The sequence below is a fragment of the Homo sapiens genome, chromosome 5 (genome assembly GCF_000001405.40).
Source record: "Homo sapiens chromosome 5, GRCh38.p14 Primary Assembly".
NCBI classification, from domain to species: Eukaryota; Metazoa; Chordata; class Mammalia; order Primates; family Hominidae; genus Homo; species Homo sapiens.
The window spans coordinates 94770788-94787233 of NC_000005.10; the positions used below are offsets into that span (position 1 = coordinate 94770788).

General features: G+C 36.3%; 1 protein-coding gene across 52 annotated transcripts in view; it reads right to left on the reverse strand.

Annotated features, from left to right (window-relative positions):
• The window catches only part of MCTP1 (multiple C2 and transmembrane domain containing 1), a 581405-nt gene that overhangs the window by 67098 nt on the left and 497861 nt on the right, over positions 1-16446 (reverse strand). For all 52 annotated transcript variants that reach the window (XM_047417718.1, NM_001393537.1, XM_047417715.1 and 49 more), the window contains one exon: positions 8323-8376. In XM_047417718.1, the coding sequence (XP_047273674.1) occupies positions 8323-8376 (54 nt within the window). The remainder of the gene's footprint in view (positions 1-8322; positions 8377-16446) is intronic.

Consider the following 16446-nt stretch of genomic DNA (forward strand, 5'->3'; position numbering starts at 1 on the left):
AAGCATTAATGATGGAGAGTTTTCAAAAGATGATTGCAACACAATATGAATTCGACAAGGATTTTGGAGAACCCCAGGATTCCTCACCGTGCCTAATCATCACCTAATAAAGCCACAGCAGATCCCATTGTGTTACTGTTTTCTTTCGCCAAGTCAGTGTTTCCAGCACTTATTGACATGAAACTGAAAAGCCATAGTCAAATGGATATCAAAGATAACAAGCCCATTGCTGCCTCAAAACTACTCCATAATATCACAATCAAGCCAAACACCACCCTTCTTGTAGAAGCTTGCTTTGGAATTGAATGAAACATTATTTTTTACTTGTAAAATTTGTATTTATCTCAGGTGTTTGAGGAAACAGGCATTAAGTTCAAGAGAACAGTGGTGAGGGCAACAAAGATGACTTTATAAAGATACTTTATAGTCTCTGTAAAATAATTCAATTTCCATGGCAAAAAAAAAGCACATAAAAAAGTTTGTGTATTATGTGTGTGTGCATGTTTTGTGTCCTCTTCTGGGGAGAAAGTGTAAATCTTCAGATTCTCAGAGTCTGTGACTTAAATAAGACTAAAACTCCCTGTCCTTTGAAGGGTAAAACATTTTAAGGAATGGAATTAATGTTGAGAAGAAGTAAAATTCTTCAGCTGAAAAATGAAGAAAACCATGAATTTCTTCTCTATTCGCCAATTAATAATATAGACTTCTAAACCAGAAAGTATATGACTGCATTAAAAATGGGCAATAACCCACTCTCATTTTTGAACAAGCTTTTCCAAAATCAAAATTAAGAAATTTGGATAAAAATATTTGCTTTGTTAGATACTGTTTTCAGTTTTCATATTATATGAAAAATTGTGTAGCTGTATTTATATAGACCAGTGGGATGAAGTTAATAATGACAAATGAGGAACTCAGATCTAGTGCTTTAAAATACAGTATTGTTTGGAGAAGTATAGGAAATGCAGTTGGAAGTTACCTGTACTAGTTTCCTATTGCTGCTGTAACATGTTATTATAAACCTAGGTGCTTGGAAATCACAAATGTATTATCTTACCATTCCATAGGTCAGAAGTCTGAAATGAGTCTCACTGGGCTAAAAATGAAGGTGTAGGCAGGGCTGCATTTCTTGTTTGAGGCTCTAGGGGAGAATCCTTTTCCTTGCCCTTTCTAGCTTCTAGAGACATTTTCTTGGCTTGTGGCCCGCTTCCTCCATCTCCAAAGCCAGCAACAGCAGTCCCCACCCCCTACCAGTTAGTTTGTGTTTTACTGATACCGTGCACCCTGTACTTTCCCAGTGGGTACCAGCTGTTCATTCTTGGTTATTTCTTGGTCTTTAGGTCCTTCTCATACTTGATGAGCCTGTGGGGTTCAGGTACATGCTTTCTTGGGGTGCAGATATAAGGGCTTGTACTTCTTGCCCTTGTAGACCGCCCTGTGGTTCTCTTTCTGAGTCTGGTTAATGACAGTGAGAACAAGGGGGTTGGATTGTGGACCCTGTGCCACCTGTCACACTGTCAATGTGCAGCTGGGAGAGCTCTACCTTTAGGTAGTCCAGCTGTCTCAGAAGCTCTTCCTTCTTGCCATAAAGGTCCTGAGGCTTGATCTTGGCCATGGCTTCACATGCAGCTGCCAGCTGCCATCTGCTCTGATGGCCTCTCCACTTCTGATCACATTAGGCCCAATCAGACAAACCAGGACAATCTCCCTATTTTAAGGTCAGATGATTAGCACCCTTCATCCTATCTGCTACCTTAATTCCTCTTTGTCATGTAGCATGACATCTCCATAGGTTCCAGGGATTAAGTCATGGGCATTTTTGATATTATTCTGCCTACTACACACTCCCTCAGTTGAAACTGTAGGAAAGGATTGGATATGCAGGAAAATAGTGAAAAGTAGTAGAAACCTAGAAATAAACAGTCTCTAGCTGGGGTGAAAGGTATATTCCCTTATTGAACTACCCTAAAGACTTAAAGATCATGTCTGAGGTAACCTGCATCTGTACTTTGACAATACCCCTTCCCCCGGAAAACCTAGTCATAAGGAAGCGTAAGGATGCCAAATTTGGAATCAGAAAAGTTGAGTGGTAGGTCTGGCTCTTCCACTTGTCTATATCCTTTAGCAATTCACTTAAATTTGGCTGAACCACAGTCTCCTCACTTTAAATTAAGTGGGTTGAACTAGATTATTTCTTGGGTACCCTCCAGTTGTAATGTTGCTATGATTCTAGATGAAATAGATAGTATTTCTGCGGACTCAAAGTGAGTGGGCTATCAGTTCAATGGGTGTTTAAGCACCAATAGGTTCACAAAGGAGAAATGGATCCTTCCCTGATTTTTAATCTTATTATTTGCTCTTCTCCCAAGTAGGAGAAAACAAGAAGAAATAGCCCTTTCCTGTCCAAACATCCCTCACCCCAGATCAGAATAGATAATAAGCAAATGGGACATATTATACTGTGACTGTAAAATATACCTCAGTTTACACCCCTGGCATGAGATGTTCCTATAATCTTTGAAAGAATATGATTTGGGAGGCTGGTTTTCCTCATTTGTTTATTGTAGCATAGTTGGGTTATAGTATTGCAATAAATATATCCAAGGAACACAAGGACTGTTCCAATTTTGCTCTAGAGCATGGGTGGGTCTATGCGGTTTTGATAGGCAGAATTCTAAGATGGCTGCCAAGATTCGCGCCTTCCAATAGATATATCATGATAGTCTCCCTCCCCTTGAGTGTGGGAGTGGGTTTTGTAATATGATGGTGTATTAGTCTGTTCTCATGCTGTTAATAAAGACATACCCAAGACTGGGTAATTTATAAAGGAAAAAGGTTGAATTGACTCACAATTCCACATGGCTGGGGAGGACTCACAATCATGGTGGAAGGCAAGGAGGAATAAAGTCACATCTTACATGGTGGCAGGCAAGAGTGAGTGTGTGCAGGGGAACTCCCCTTTATAAAACTATCAGATCTCATGAGACTTATTCACTATCATGAGAACAGCACAGGAAAGATCCACTCCATGATTCAGTTACCTTCCACCGGGTCCCTCCCACAACACATGGGAAATATGGGAGCTACAATTCAAGATATTATTGTGTGCGGACACGGCCAAATCATATTAGATGAAATAGGCCGGGCGCGGTGGCTCACGCCTGTAATCCCAGCACTTTGGGAGGCCGAGGCGGGCGGATCACGAGGTCAGGAGATCGAGACCATCCCGGCTAAAATGGTGAAACCCCGTCTCTACTAAAAATACAAAAAATTAGCCGGGCGTAGTGGCGGGCGCCTGTAGTCCCAGCTACTTGGGAGGCTGAGGCAGGAGAATGGCGTGAACCCGGGAGGCGGAGCTTGCAGTGAGCCGAGATCCCGCCACTGCACTCCAGCCTGGGCGACAGAGCAAGACTCCGTCTCAAAAAAAAAAAAAAAAAAAAAAAAAAAAAAAAAAAAAAAAAAGAAATAGGTGGTCCCATGACTAGGTTGTGTTCTGTGGCACAATTGCCTTTAAGAAAAAGAGATTATCTTTGATGGGCCTGGCCTAATCAGGTGAGGCCTTAAAAGGAACTTGTCTCTTCCTGAAGAGATTTGAAGTATGGGAGAGACTCAACCCAACAGAGATTCTCCACTGATAGATTTAAAGATGGAGGAAGCCATGGAAAATGGCAACTAGTATCAGAAAGCCAGCAAGAAAACAAGGACCTCAGTCCTCCAACTATAAGGAACTGAATTCTATCAATACCCTGAATGAGTTTGGACATGGATTCTTCTCCAAAGCCTTCAGGTGAGAACTCAGCCTGACTGCTACCTTGAATGTGACACCCTGAGCAGAGAACCCAACTGAGCTGTGCTGGACTTCTGATCTACTGAACCGAGAGCTAAAAAGTGAGTGTTGTTTTGAGCCTCTACCATGTGTGGCAATTTGTTATGCAGCAATAGCAAACAAATAAATGAAAACAATGCTATTCCAGTTAAATGTGGCTTAGGAATTTTTAAAAAGAAGTATTTTCCTTGTGCCTCCTTTCTTCTTGCCTTTCTCCAAAGCCTTAATCTTTTTCCCCACGGTGCAGTTATTTCATTGAATATAACTAGAAAATGCCATTTTGTCAGATTAAAATCTTCTCTCATATCACATCACTTCTCATCCCCCTAACCCCTCATAGTTCGTTTGAGATGCCAGAGATGCCCAAATCTTGGATATATTATATACATGTTTTAGGGCTGGAGAATCAAACCAGAAAACACAGATTTCAAGAATTAAAGCAAAGAATCTGTTTACTTTGAACTAACTCTAGATATGTTTCATTTGTTACATCTAGTTCTCTTGAAACACAGTAACCTTGACATAATGGCTGAAGAAAAAGGAGAAGCAATGTAAGCATAAATGGCTGAATATTTTAATATCTTTTATCAATAAACATTACTAGAATGCCACGCATTTGAATCCATGCTTTTTCTGACAAAAACCTGCATTTTATCTTCTGCTTCCTGATATCGCAGCTGGATCTTATTACAAGGGTAGGATGCACCATGGGAAGCATGCCTAAACTTTTTAAACTACAAAAGGAAAGCTGATCTTCATTAATTAGATGTCTAGATTATGCAGACTGACCACTGTATTATTATCTATAACATGGTGAAAAACACCATTATATGGCTTGTTGATAGCTCCTCCTAGGTAATTTAGCTAAGCCTTATTTGCTAAGATATTCTATTAACCACAAAGGCAGGATTTGGTGTCAGGTCAAAAAATCAGATCAAACTGTGACTTTGTGGTTGATGGTTCAGAGAATGCTCTATAACAAAGGGAATTGAGAACTCAGTATGATGTCTTTCTAACATTTAATTCAGGAAAAATGTCATCTCCAGCACGGCTTAACATAGTGCTACTACATAATGCAGATAAGTGAAAATATTAACAAGTAAATGATTCATAACGAAGACTCACCACGTAAAACCTGTATTCTCTGCCTTTGTGAAAACCATGGAATTGGATTAAAAGAGAAGCCACCTAATTTTAGATTTAAACAAATGTGAACAATGGGTTTGAGAATGAAGGGTAAGTCTGTGGATCACAAACCCTCACCTGAATAATGATTAGCTCTTTGAATAAAAAACAACTAATATATATATCATATAAATATATTAATATATATTATAGAAATATATTTATATTATATATATATATATATTTAAAAAGCCATAATCTGGAAGAACTTCAAAATCTAGGAATCCAGGTAAATCATGATTTAGCTTTTACCAACTTTAACCAAAGTCTTCCCTGGTGCTACAGTCAGTACTAAAGAAAAGCTATTACAAAGCTATTATGTTAAGTAATTACAATTTTGTCTGCTTCAACTTCTTATACCTGTGTCTTTGTCATGTATATAATTATGCAGAGGGAAAACACCCTAAGCTCAAATGAAATAAAAGATTTCAGTTTATGCCCACACGGACCTTGTCAAGTAGCCAATGACTTGCCCTTTCATTGTGAGTGACTAATATCAATGCTGGCTCTAAAGAAAGACACTTTTCATAATCGCCCAACAATCTGCTAAGTGAAAACATATGGATAGGCTTAGGGAACGCCTGCCAGGGGTCTTGGCAGAATGGAAAACAGGTGCTCTCATTCTGTGCCACGTAATACCCCATTTACCCCCAAGTCCAAAGGTTATAGGACTAATAGCTGCCTTGTGGTAATCAGGGAAAGCCAAGACACTGGCCCCGGTGAAACATCTGGGACATATTTTACATACTTCCAACATATGCTTCAGGTTCAATTAAAGTGAGGCTTTGGCACATTTATTAATCTTTTTTACTTTTATCCTATAAGAGGACCCACTGACCTGACCTTACTATTATACCATATGAGAAAACAGAAATAATGAGAGCTAGAGGTCAGTACCTGCTCGTATGGCAAAGAACACATTTGTTTTCTCATGAAATTCCATTACCCATGACTGTGTACACAAACTTTAAATAAAGGAACCAACGAATTTTTTAAAGTAGGAAATTACCCTTCTTCCACTCAGACACACTGATAGCCAAGACGTAACATTTACCGCTGTGAAAGCCTGTCGAGATGGAAGATGGAACCTTGCAGGATCCTTTCTCATTTCCATTTCTTATAGGAAAAACTATATTTCAAGATGTCCACAAGATTCTTCCCTCTATTATTCAAGCACTTAAAAGCCTACTGTAAATTATTACATTTGAGATTTTATTCAGATATGATTTTTATGCTATCAATTGCATTATGAGTAAAAAAGAAAAACCTCCTTTTTTATCGCTCAAATAAAAGGGTTGGATTTATGAAAATCAGCTCACAGTCCTTTCACATGGAAAACACACTGCTTGTCGGCATCCTGTACAGAAGAATACAGTTGAATTCACACTGCAATTTAAGCACTCACTTTCAATCAACTTTGGTAACTAGATCTGAAAATGTGTTAGAAGCAGGGTGTCAATTTCAGACTACCAAACACTAGATTACAATAGATGTTACTCCAGAGATTTGGTGTTGTTTCCCCCGGGCATGTTCCACTTGACATCTATGTTTTGGTGAGCTGGTTAACCAGGTGTGCCTATTTCTCATATCTAACATCCTCTCCATTAAAAATGGCCATAAAACGGGGAGAGATTAGAAGTACAGAATATCAACAAACTGACTAAAAACATAGGTTGACTTCAAACAGGGACATTAAGTACTAGACTTCACTAAGGGTTTCCATTTATTAACATTTCTGGGGAAATGCCTGCTGCTGGGGTGGATCTTTATGGTGGCTTTAATAATAAAGCAGCAACAAGCAAGAGAAAACGGCCATAAATGGATGGCAGCTCAGTGTTTATCAGCAGAGAAATGATGATTCAGAGCTGGCATATTGAGTTAAAATACAAGCTCTCTACAGCTCTACAACTGACCTTAGCAATAAATCATATCATTTATTGCCAGAAGTGTATGCTCATGTTATTTAACATTAAAAACAAGCACATATGTGTTTTTGCAGGAAGGAGATTTTGTTAGTTTATGTTTGATGATGTTGCTAATGACTAAATGATGTACAGAAGAAAAATTTCACATAAAAGCTCTGTCGATTTAAAAATGTTTGAAATAGCGTTAGAAGGGAGAAAGTGTGCGTGTGTGTGTGTGTGTGTGTGTGTGTGTGTTTCTGTTTTCCTTCAAGCATTGATTAGGAAAAAAATCATGTGGAGAGTTAACTAATCACTGAATTTTTTGACATTTCTCGTGTATGCTTTCAACACACAAATTATTTTATCTTTGGAGACACAGCCTTTGGTGGCACACAAATTCTTACACTGGGATATAACTGTACATCTTTACTGGAATCAAAGGTCAAGGGCATAAATTAAAATATACTGTTTTCCTCCTTTCTTCAAAAAAAAAATTCACTGCTTTACTACAATATAAGTCAGATTCTGGTGAAGGTAAAAAAATCTGGTTTTACACGCCAAACAACGTGGAAATAACTAACGATTTTCTCTCCTCTGCCTCCCAATCTCACCCTAGGACTTTTTAGATTTTAGGTCTGGAAATGTCCAGAGATGATGATGTAACAGCATCACTATCCTCCTTGCCATAGAAAGCAGTAGTTCCAACCCCAGCCACTGCTGCAGTGGTGCAAGATCATTCTAATTCCTACCTCCAGTTGTCCCCCCTCCCTAGGGGACAACCAATCCAAGCAGTCCCAGAAACTGCTGTTATTTACTGTGGTCACCCTCCCCAAATCAACCAGCGATCAAATATAAGCCTCTCTGAATGGGCTTTCCTAATGGAGAAACCACGTGGCCATTCCAAACCTCGGCAAGGGCGGTGAGCACTGGGGTTATTTAAATGTCCTCTGGAGCACTCGGCACATTCATGTCCTTTTGCTGAGCAATTGTTTGAAAATTACAGATGACAATATCCATGTTCAACTCATGCAGGCTATTTTTCCACTCTCTCTTCCCCCAAAGCATGGCCCGATTTGTAATACTCAAAATAGGACAAATTTTTGCCCTTCAACAACAGTCATCACTGCTGTTATCTTCACGAGAGCTATCAAGTTCCAGACAAGCTGAATTATTTTTTTGTTTGTTCTTGGCAGAAAAATATTTGACCCAGCTCTGGACAAAAGCAAAGAGGATTTATAGCCTTCTCTCCCTCTTTGCAACACGCAGTGGCATTGTTAGGATGATAAACAGCACTGTCCAATTTTCTGGACTCAAACACTTCAACTCCTTTTTTAACTGTCTGTGAAAACAGTGTCATGTCTACATTTCCCCATCCCCAGGTACCCAAGTGCTGGGAAAGATAATTACCTTGTCATCTTTGTCATCTTCTTCTTCCTCGTCCTCTAGCATGTCCTCCACTACCTGCAGAGAGAAACAGAAGTCGTTTTTTGTGCTCTTAAAGGAGAGAATTTTGTTCTGTCATTTTGAACCTTTTGGAAATGAAAACTTTATTAACATTTGAAACAGGCACACTGAGAAGGGATATTTGATCTAGAGAGAGTGATTAGGAAAATGCTCTGCCTTTAATTGATGAAAACCAGGGAACCAAATCCCAGTTAGGAGAACCGGATTTATGTGAAATGTTTTGTGACAACCTAAAGAATTTGAAATATGCATAAGGTAAACCAATATTAATTTGGGGGATGCTTTAAATCAGGAAATTTCCCTTCTACCGATTCTGCTGTCTGTATTAATCAGGCACTTTAAATTGAGAACTAGATAACTAGGCATGAAACAGCTCTGCTATTTCTAATTTACTTTTCACCAAACTCTAAGATTAAAAAACCATGTCTGTTAATTGATTCATGCTGGTGGTCTATGGCATAAAACTAACAACATATTTTATGGCCCAAATTTTAATTCTTATGTATAAATGTCAAGTCTTGCCTCTCTCTTTTTGATTTTGTGGATTACCCAAAACTCTCATTTTAATTCTCTGTGATTTTATACAAGAATATCATGAGAATGCATAGTATAATAAAATGAAACTTAAAATAATATATAATTACATGTGTATAGTGTGTGTATAACCCACATGGTTGGATATGCATGTATGTATTTTTTAACGGCTATTTAGCCTACCTCAGCAGAATGGAACAGTCATTTTGGATTTACCAAATAACTTCCCTTTGCCTTGATCAACATATAACCATAGGCATTCAGAATGGGACTTCACTCCATTTCAGGCTTTTTAAAATTGTTTTCCACACTTCACAAACATACACATATGCATGCCACAGAAACCTACAGTTTAAAAAACTGTGGGAGAAGTGTTGTTATTCAAGTAAGACCCAACTTATTGTGTTTGACATTTGATATGGTTTTTAAATTCCTGTGTCTTTTTTTTTTTCCTGATCTTGTATCTCTGAATAGACTCAACAGAATCATGGTTATCAAATACTTTAAAACTTTTCTCCCAAAGCTCATATTAGAGGACAGAGACACCTAGCCCTCCTTTCCTGTTTTTGTTTTTTTTTTGATACAAACAGGAATATTCTATTGGTGTACACTTTAATAACCAAGACTGTATTATGAAAAGAGTTACATAAACTGAGATAACATATCAGAACTCCGTTATTCCTAATAATTTTTCTCAAATATTCTAAAAGCATTAACTGATTTAAAAGCATAACCCAAACACAAACCTCCAGGTCTCATGAACGAATATATAATGAAAGCATCTGACAACCTGTGAGACTGTCTTAATTTAATGTCATGCTTTAAATCTTCTGTTAAATGGTAGAATTTTGAGGTCTTTCATTTGGACATTCAGCTTTCAAAAGAATCACAGTGGTGCAATATGCAGTTTTGCATATCTGATGAGAGCTTACACTTACTTCGGAGACATATAAAGCAATGAAGCTTCAACAAGAAAGATGGACTCTTGACAGTCTCTCTAACTATATTCAGCTACTCCATAGCATTTATTATAAACCCCTTTGTCCAAGGCACATAGTGCTAGGTAATGTGGGAATACACAGATAACCCACAAATACTTCCTTCTTTACTCCTATCAGCCCTCAAATGGCTTATAATCCAGTAAAATTTAAACAGGGTTGATCAGATAAGCTTTCATGTTAACCTTTCATTTCCTCACATTTAAAGTATTCACATCACAAATACAAAGACAATAGTGACAATATATAGTTGAAGTGATATATGCCAGGCTATTCCAAATTGGGCTATTTGTGAGGGAGGTTTAAGATGGAAAAGAAGCTGCATTGGTACATTTTGTTGCATCAGAAGAATTCACCTAACACTTGTAAGATTTTCTGAAATGATGATTATTTTGTAGCTGTAATAAAATTATCTTTTAGATTTAAATGAAGTATTTTTTTTTTTTTTGCTGAAATTACCCATGCAGATTCTTATCAAATACATCAAGGAAAATGAGATGAATACTATACTTTTACTCCTGTGAATAAAGTCATTATTGTAGCTACTTATAATTAAGAATGTATAATATGCCTCCTCTCTGCAGTACTTACTATCATATTTCAGGTGCTATGAAGGCAGGATGGTGGTGGGCTGTGCTTAGCAGATTGTCAGGTACATAATAGGTGTTCAAGAAATATTTGTTGATTGAGTGAACAGGTGAATGCATCATCTACCCTTCATATCATTTAACACACTTGTGGGTAAAGTGTCTATCATGTATCTCACAGAACTGACTTAGTTCACCTGGAAGGACTTATACCTAATCAATGATGCAGATTTATAAAAGCAAATATTCAAAATGCTTTCAAACATTTGCCTGGGAATAGAACCCATGAATATTTAACCATTAAGGTTGGAGAATCTCCACTATCTTCAAATTAATTTTCAAAAATTCAAAATAAGATTAAGCCATAAACAAGCCAGTAGCTTAATTTACACATTTTACAGATCAGCTGTGGATCTTATGTTCAAGTATGACTCAAAGAGGTCTACAGAATCAGGCTCTTCATTTGCAAAACCCAAACTGTTCTTACCCTGCACAAGTGGGTAATTGGCTACGCACAATTGCTCCACAAATGTGCAGCCAGAACCACCCAATACAACCATTTGCTTTTACATTTGGCAGAAAAGTGTTGTGTTAGTGAGAGGCCTTTTTGCTGTGTTTTAGCGCTCTAGTGAGGGCCTTTCCCCTCCTCCAGTGCCTTTTTAAAGTTACATCATAAACATCTACAAGTGAGGATTTATAATATAGATGGTTTCCTATCGATGCCTTTAAGCTGCTTCCGAACATACCCCACTATTACATTTTGCTCAGGTGAAGCTGAAGGTGCCTTAGAAAATGGAGATGATAATAGCACCTATCTCACAGTGTTGAGGATCCAATGAGATAATGCATAAGAGCGCTTAATACAGTTCCTGTGTCAAAGGAAGTACTCAAAAATGTTAGCTATTAATAAAAATAAAATAACATCAAGTTACTATTTTAAACATTCATTTTTGGAAATTAAATAATATATTTTTTCCTGGACAAAATATTCTGTGCTCTTAATGACACACAAAATTCTGATTCATGTTTTCACTGACCATAAGAAACACATAGAGGGGTACAGGTAGAAGTGTGGATAAAGATTCCAAATTAAAATGATGATGCTTTCACAACTAATTTTCAGGCTTTAATGGTCCAGTGAAATGGATGGCTTTGAGGACAAGAGTGTCTCAGAAGCTGAGCTGTGCTTTAAGACATGAGCTCTAGCCAAATGCAATGAACATCGAAACTGCAAACTGAGCTTTTAAAAACAAACTGTATATATTACTGAAGTGCATTTAATGACTGCACAAAATTGCAACCCTTCCCAGAGAAATCAAATACCACCGCTATTTAGGATGAGAGTGCTGGAGTTTAACACTTAACTAAGGAAAACAAAAGAAGGGAGTCCTGGTATCAAATTCTAGCTCTTTCCTCTTCAAATAAAACCAAATAAGCACTACATCGTTTTGTTTTCAAGTATACAAAGTCCAGTTGCCCAAACACTTGTGGGCAATAATTTAATGAACAACATACACTATACATAGGATTTCCTTGAAGGGGAAAAAATGAAGAGTGACGAAAAATCATGTAGTAGAAAAGATACATTTACGAAGTTCGGTTTTTTCTCTTTTTTCTTAAGGGGGAATATCACAGATCGGCTCTAGAATTCTCTTTCCAAATTATGCTTTCTGATACCTCGCTTGAAAGCAAGTAGTATTAATCAAACAAAGGAAGGGCACTAGGGAAATCAGAAAGATGTAATGCAAGCAGTTAAAAGTGACATGACCTTCTGTAATGTCGCTCGTCACAGACTTATGTGCCACACAGTCGAGGAAGGTCTTGAAAGAAACTGATTCTTGGTACTATTCCTTGAATGTAATACTAATAAAGATGACATTTAAAAAAACACACATAGACAGCCCCAAATGCAGCATGCCAGCTACATTGCAGCCAGAGAGTAAGTAGACAACATTATTTTAAAAAGCATATTTCTTCCTCTATATTCAATATTTGCTGAACATTTGTCATTAACATAAAATATAATATGTGGCCATACATTTAAAAAATACATTTCCAAAATTAAACAAAATTGTATCTATAGACCATATATTTTATGTGGTTTTAGAGGAGCTCTCGTACTGTTACAAGACTTCTAATTGTAATCCAACACAACAAAACACATCTTGATTTGCAAGGAAAATGTTATTTGACTGGAAATGTTAATAGTGATGTCAATAATCTGAATAAAAACATGACATGTTTGGTATTATTCTCCCGGAACAAAAATGTATAAGAGAGGTGACCAGAAGGATGCAGTAACAAGAAAACCAATGATGAAAGGATGAGGAAAAGTGGGTTCAGGTAGACTTCATTATTAAAATCATTATGGGATAGTGGATACTAATTATTGCTTTTTAACACCAATTTAAGGTATATGTTTAATATGACAAGAGGGGGTTAAAAGGCCCATGAATTATTTTTAAAACACTTCATATTATAATTTTTCCATGAGTAAATTCTTCCACTTATTTAAATCCCTTCAAACAAAAAGGAACCAAAAAAGATCTTGGTTATGTTAACCTTGGAAGGATTGAGTACTCTGCAACCAAACCTTTCAAAAGCCAGTGCTGATACAAACCAGTTTCTTTCGTGTGTTTACTTCTTTTCCTTGGAATTAAATGGATGTTTTGCTATGTTCAAAATGAATAGTTGCACAACTCAAATTGCTTTACTCAAATATGGTCTATAAAAATGCAACACGTTTACACATTTAAAGAAGAAATCACTGCTGTCCAGATGTGCAACCATGTTAAAATATTAAAGAAAACTGACACAAAAGAAAGAAGTTTCATATTTAGTTTCATATTCATAGATCATCCAAACTTGTACAGATGCTTATATTTGGATACGTTGCAAACTAAATGCCTATTTCTACCCTAGAGATACGGAAGAATTTGGGGAGGGTAGTATTCTTCAACACAGTCTGGAGTTCATTTATATCACTGTGTTTGTGCATAAACCAAGCAGAACATGCATTTATGTGCCAATTGGTTTATTATACGTGTAAGTATGATATGAAATGATGGAATGTCTATTGATGGAGAAGACGCATATAATCACTCAAATGATTTCAAATCACTTGAAAGTACCAAAGGTCAGGCTAAAGACTTTTGTGGTAAGATCTTTATAGGTGTGCTAGTGCAGACATTTTTACGACAGGACACCTACTTCTCACAAGATTTTTGAGAAGAAACTTTTGCAAACTGGTATAATTAATTGTATACATAATTCACTCCACGTTTGTAAGAATAATAAGATTCAATCAAGTCTGGGATATACTGTTTCATCCAGTACATCTCGAAAGCAACTGCATATATGATGGCTGCTTAGTTTGATTCACGCTATTAAGGATTTGACCTTGGAGTATTTCAGCTACAGTAGTCATCAAGATAACTGAACCACTAGATGTAATAATAATTAGTGTGATAGGCTTGCCAGGGAGGCTGAATATATTGCAGTACAAAAGAAGGCAGAATAAAAAAAAAAGCATTAGTACTTACTGCTAAAAGACTTCCTGATTTTTACAGAGACACTCAAATACAATTATTCTTCTCACAAAATGCATTTCCTTGGCTCATTCTGGGAAGTGCCACGTTGTAATTTAGTCTGATTCTTAATAAGGAATGTGGCTTTAATGTGGCTATCAGATGACTTTTGATGCATGCCACTGATTACGTACAGCATGGCTTCTGCATCATCAACAGCAGTATTTGCTGTATAATCTGGTTTGCCATAAGGTGCAAAGACAGTAAATTTACTTTACTGACCAAAAAGTATGTTACCTTTTATTTTCTTAAGTGTCAGCTTAATATGCAGAAAAACTCTTCCATTAAGAAAGGCGAAACAATAACAAATTCTATAATCAGTATAAGCCTCTTAAATTTCTTTTCATATTTCCTTTTCGGTATTCTTAAGTGTTCATTCTTATTCTCACACAAAGCACTATGAACAGAATTCTAGAGTTTATTTGAACTCTGTCTCCATCTAAAGGCTTTACAATGTATTGGGTTTTTCACTTGCAGGAAAATTCTAATCTTGGTGTCTTTAGGATATTGCATATTAATTCAATTGAGTAGGAAAAAATAGGTCAACTATTAACCTGGAATGTGCTTTTTAAATAATAATGCTTTTATGAAACTATATTATTTGTCAAGGGAAAAAAGTATACACCAAAGGCCAAAAAATTGAGTTGTTTAATGTGCTTTGCAAGTAAAATTAAAAGCTAACTCTACTCACCACGAATCTACTTTATAAAATTTAATGTTTTCAAAATATTTTATACATTAATAACAGAGTACAAATAAAAAAGAAAATTATGTACTTATGCCTCTATATTTAGAACCAATTTTTCCATTCCAGAACCTCAACTTTGTAACAAAAAGGCATAATTTTAAATGTTTCAAACTCTGAAAATCTTAGAAATTGTTTTTAAGTGTCTAATAAAAGGTACACATTATTTAAAAAAATTTCTGTAAAGCAAGAAAAGGGAGCTGCTGTGACATTTTAAAGAGTAGCATGTCCTGCAATCTTCCAAATATCCTTTGCTCCAACCCCATCAATAATTTTGGGAGCTGCAATAGGCAAGTTATTTTTCAGGTAAATGCACAGTTTAGCACAAGTATGCAAAATACTATGGAAATATTGGAATATATTTCCATATATGATTCCATATATGGAATAGTACTGAAAATACTACACTTTGGGAACATTAGGGATCTTTAAAGAATATACTTTGAAAACAACAACAACAAAAAATTTATCTTGGAGATTAATGCCAGCAGACTTTTGGACCATATTGATCTGTTAGGTTTGATTCACTTAAATTTACAGCAGCTCCCTATTTTAAGCAATCTGTTTTGGGTCATAAAGAGGGTGAGTGGAACGGGTGTACATTTGCAAAGAATATTCTGACACTAATTTGAGTTTTCTTTTTCTTTTCTTTTCCATCTAGAACATTTTGAGGCCTGAGGACATTATGTCAGAGAATTTAACTTTAAAAATGGAGCATGTTTTGTGTGTCAAAAAATCATAAAGTCAGAAAACTTCAGTTCTTTTCTTATATCCTTTTCTATAAATAATGATATTTTTTATCTTTTTTATATAAAGAATAATCACCTCACAAAAGAAAGTCCTAGTGGGTTTAGACCTACATTTGGACTGAAAAGAATGTCTGTGGTGAATGGTGAATTGTAGCATAAAAGCCTGAATGAAAAGAATGTTCACGAAACTTCACACAAAACCTCCAAACCGTTATATCATGAGCTTCCCACAATATAACACAGAACTCTATATCCCAGGAAAAGCCTGCCTGGTCTACTTATCATTTCTGCTTTATGTAGTGTACTGTGTGATTGCTAAATTAGTGTATAATGCATTTATAATATTTATAGTACCAACATTTAGTTAAATAACCTTTAGGTAAGATTTATGTTGATTTTTTTTTATTTCTCATTTAATGGCAAATTATGAAGAGCAGGTTTCATAAAGATAATTCTCCATTTAAATTCATCAGTCCATTAAATATTAAAATTATGTTTCTGATGCAATCGAGAACAAATTTGTCCAGCTTCAGTGATTATTTGCACTCATAAAAATTAGGCTTGATTAATAAAATTTAAATGCTTGATTAAGTTGACATTTTCATGTTCCATTCTGATTTATTAGAATTAGTCTCCATCTCCAGGCCTGGTATGCTGGTGTAGGTTTACCTTTCTCCTCCTCTTACCCGACATCCTGAGCGAGATGTTAGAAAGAAGAATTTTGCTTTTGGACTCAATGATGATTTCAGTGAAACGCCCTGTTCTTTGCTCATGGTACTGCCTGTCTTTGTCTTCATGCACGGTGCACAGTGGAGATTTGTATTACAATAATCAAGAAAAATGTTTCTTTTAAATATCTATGGATAT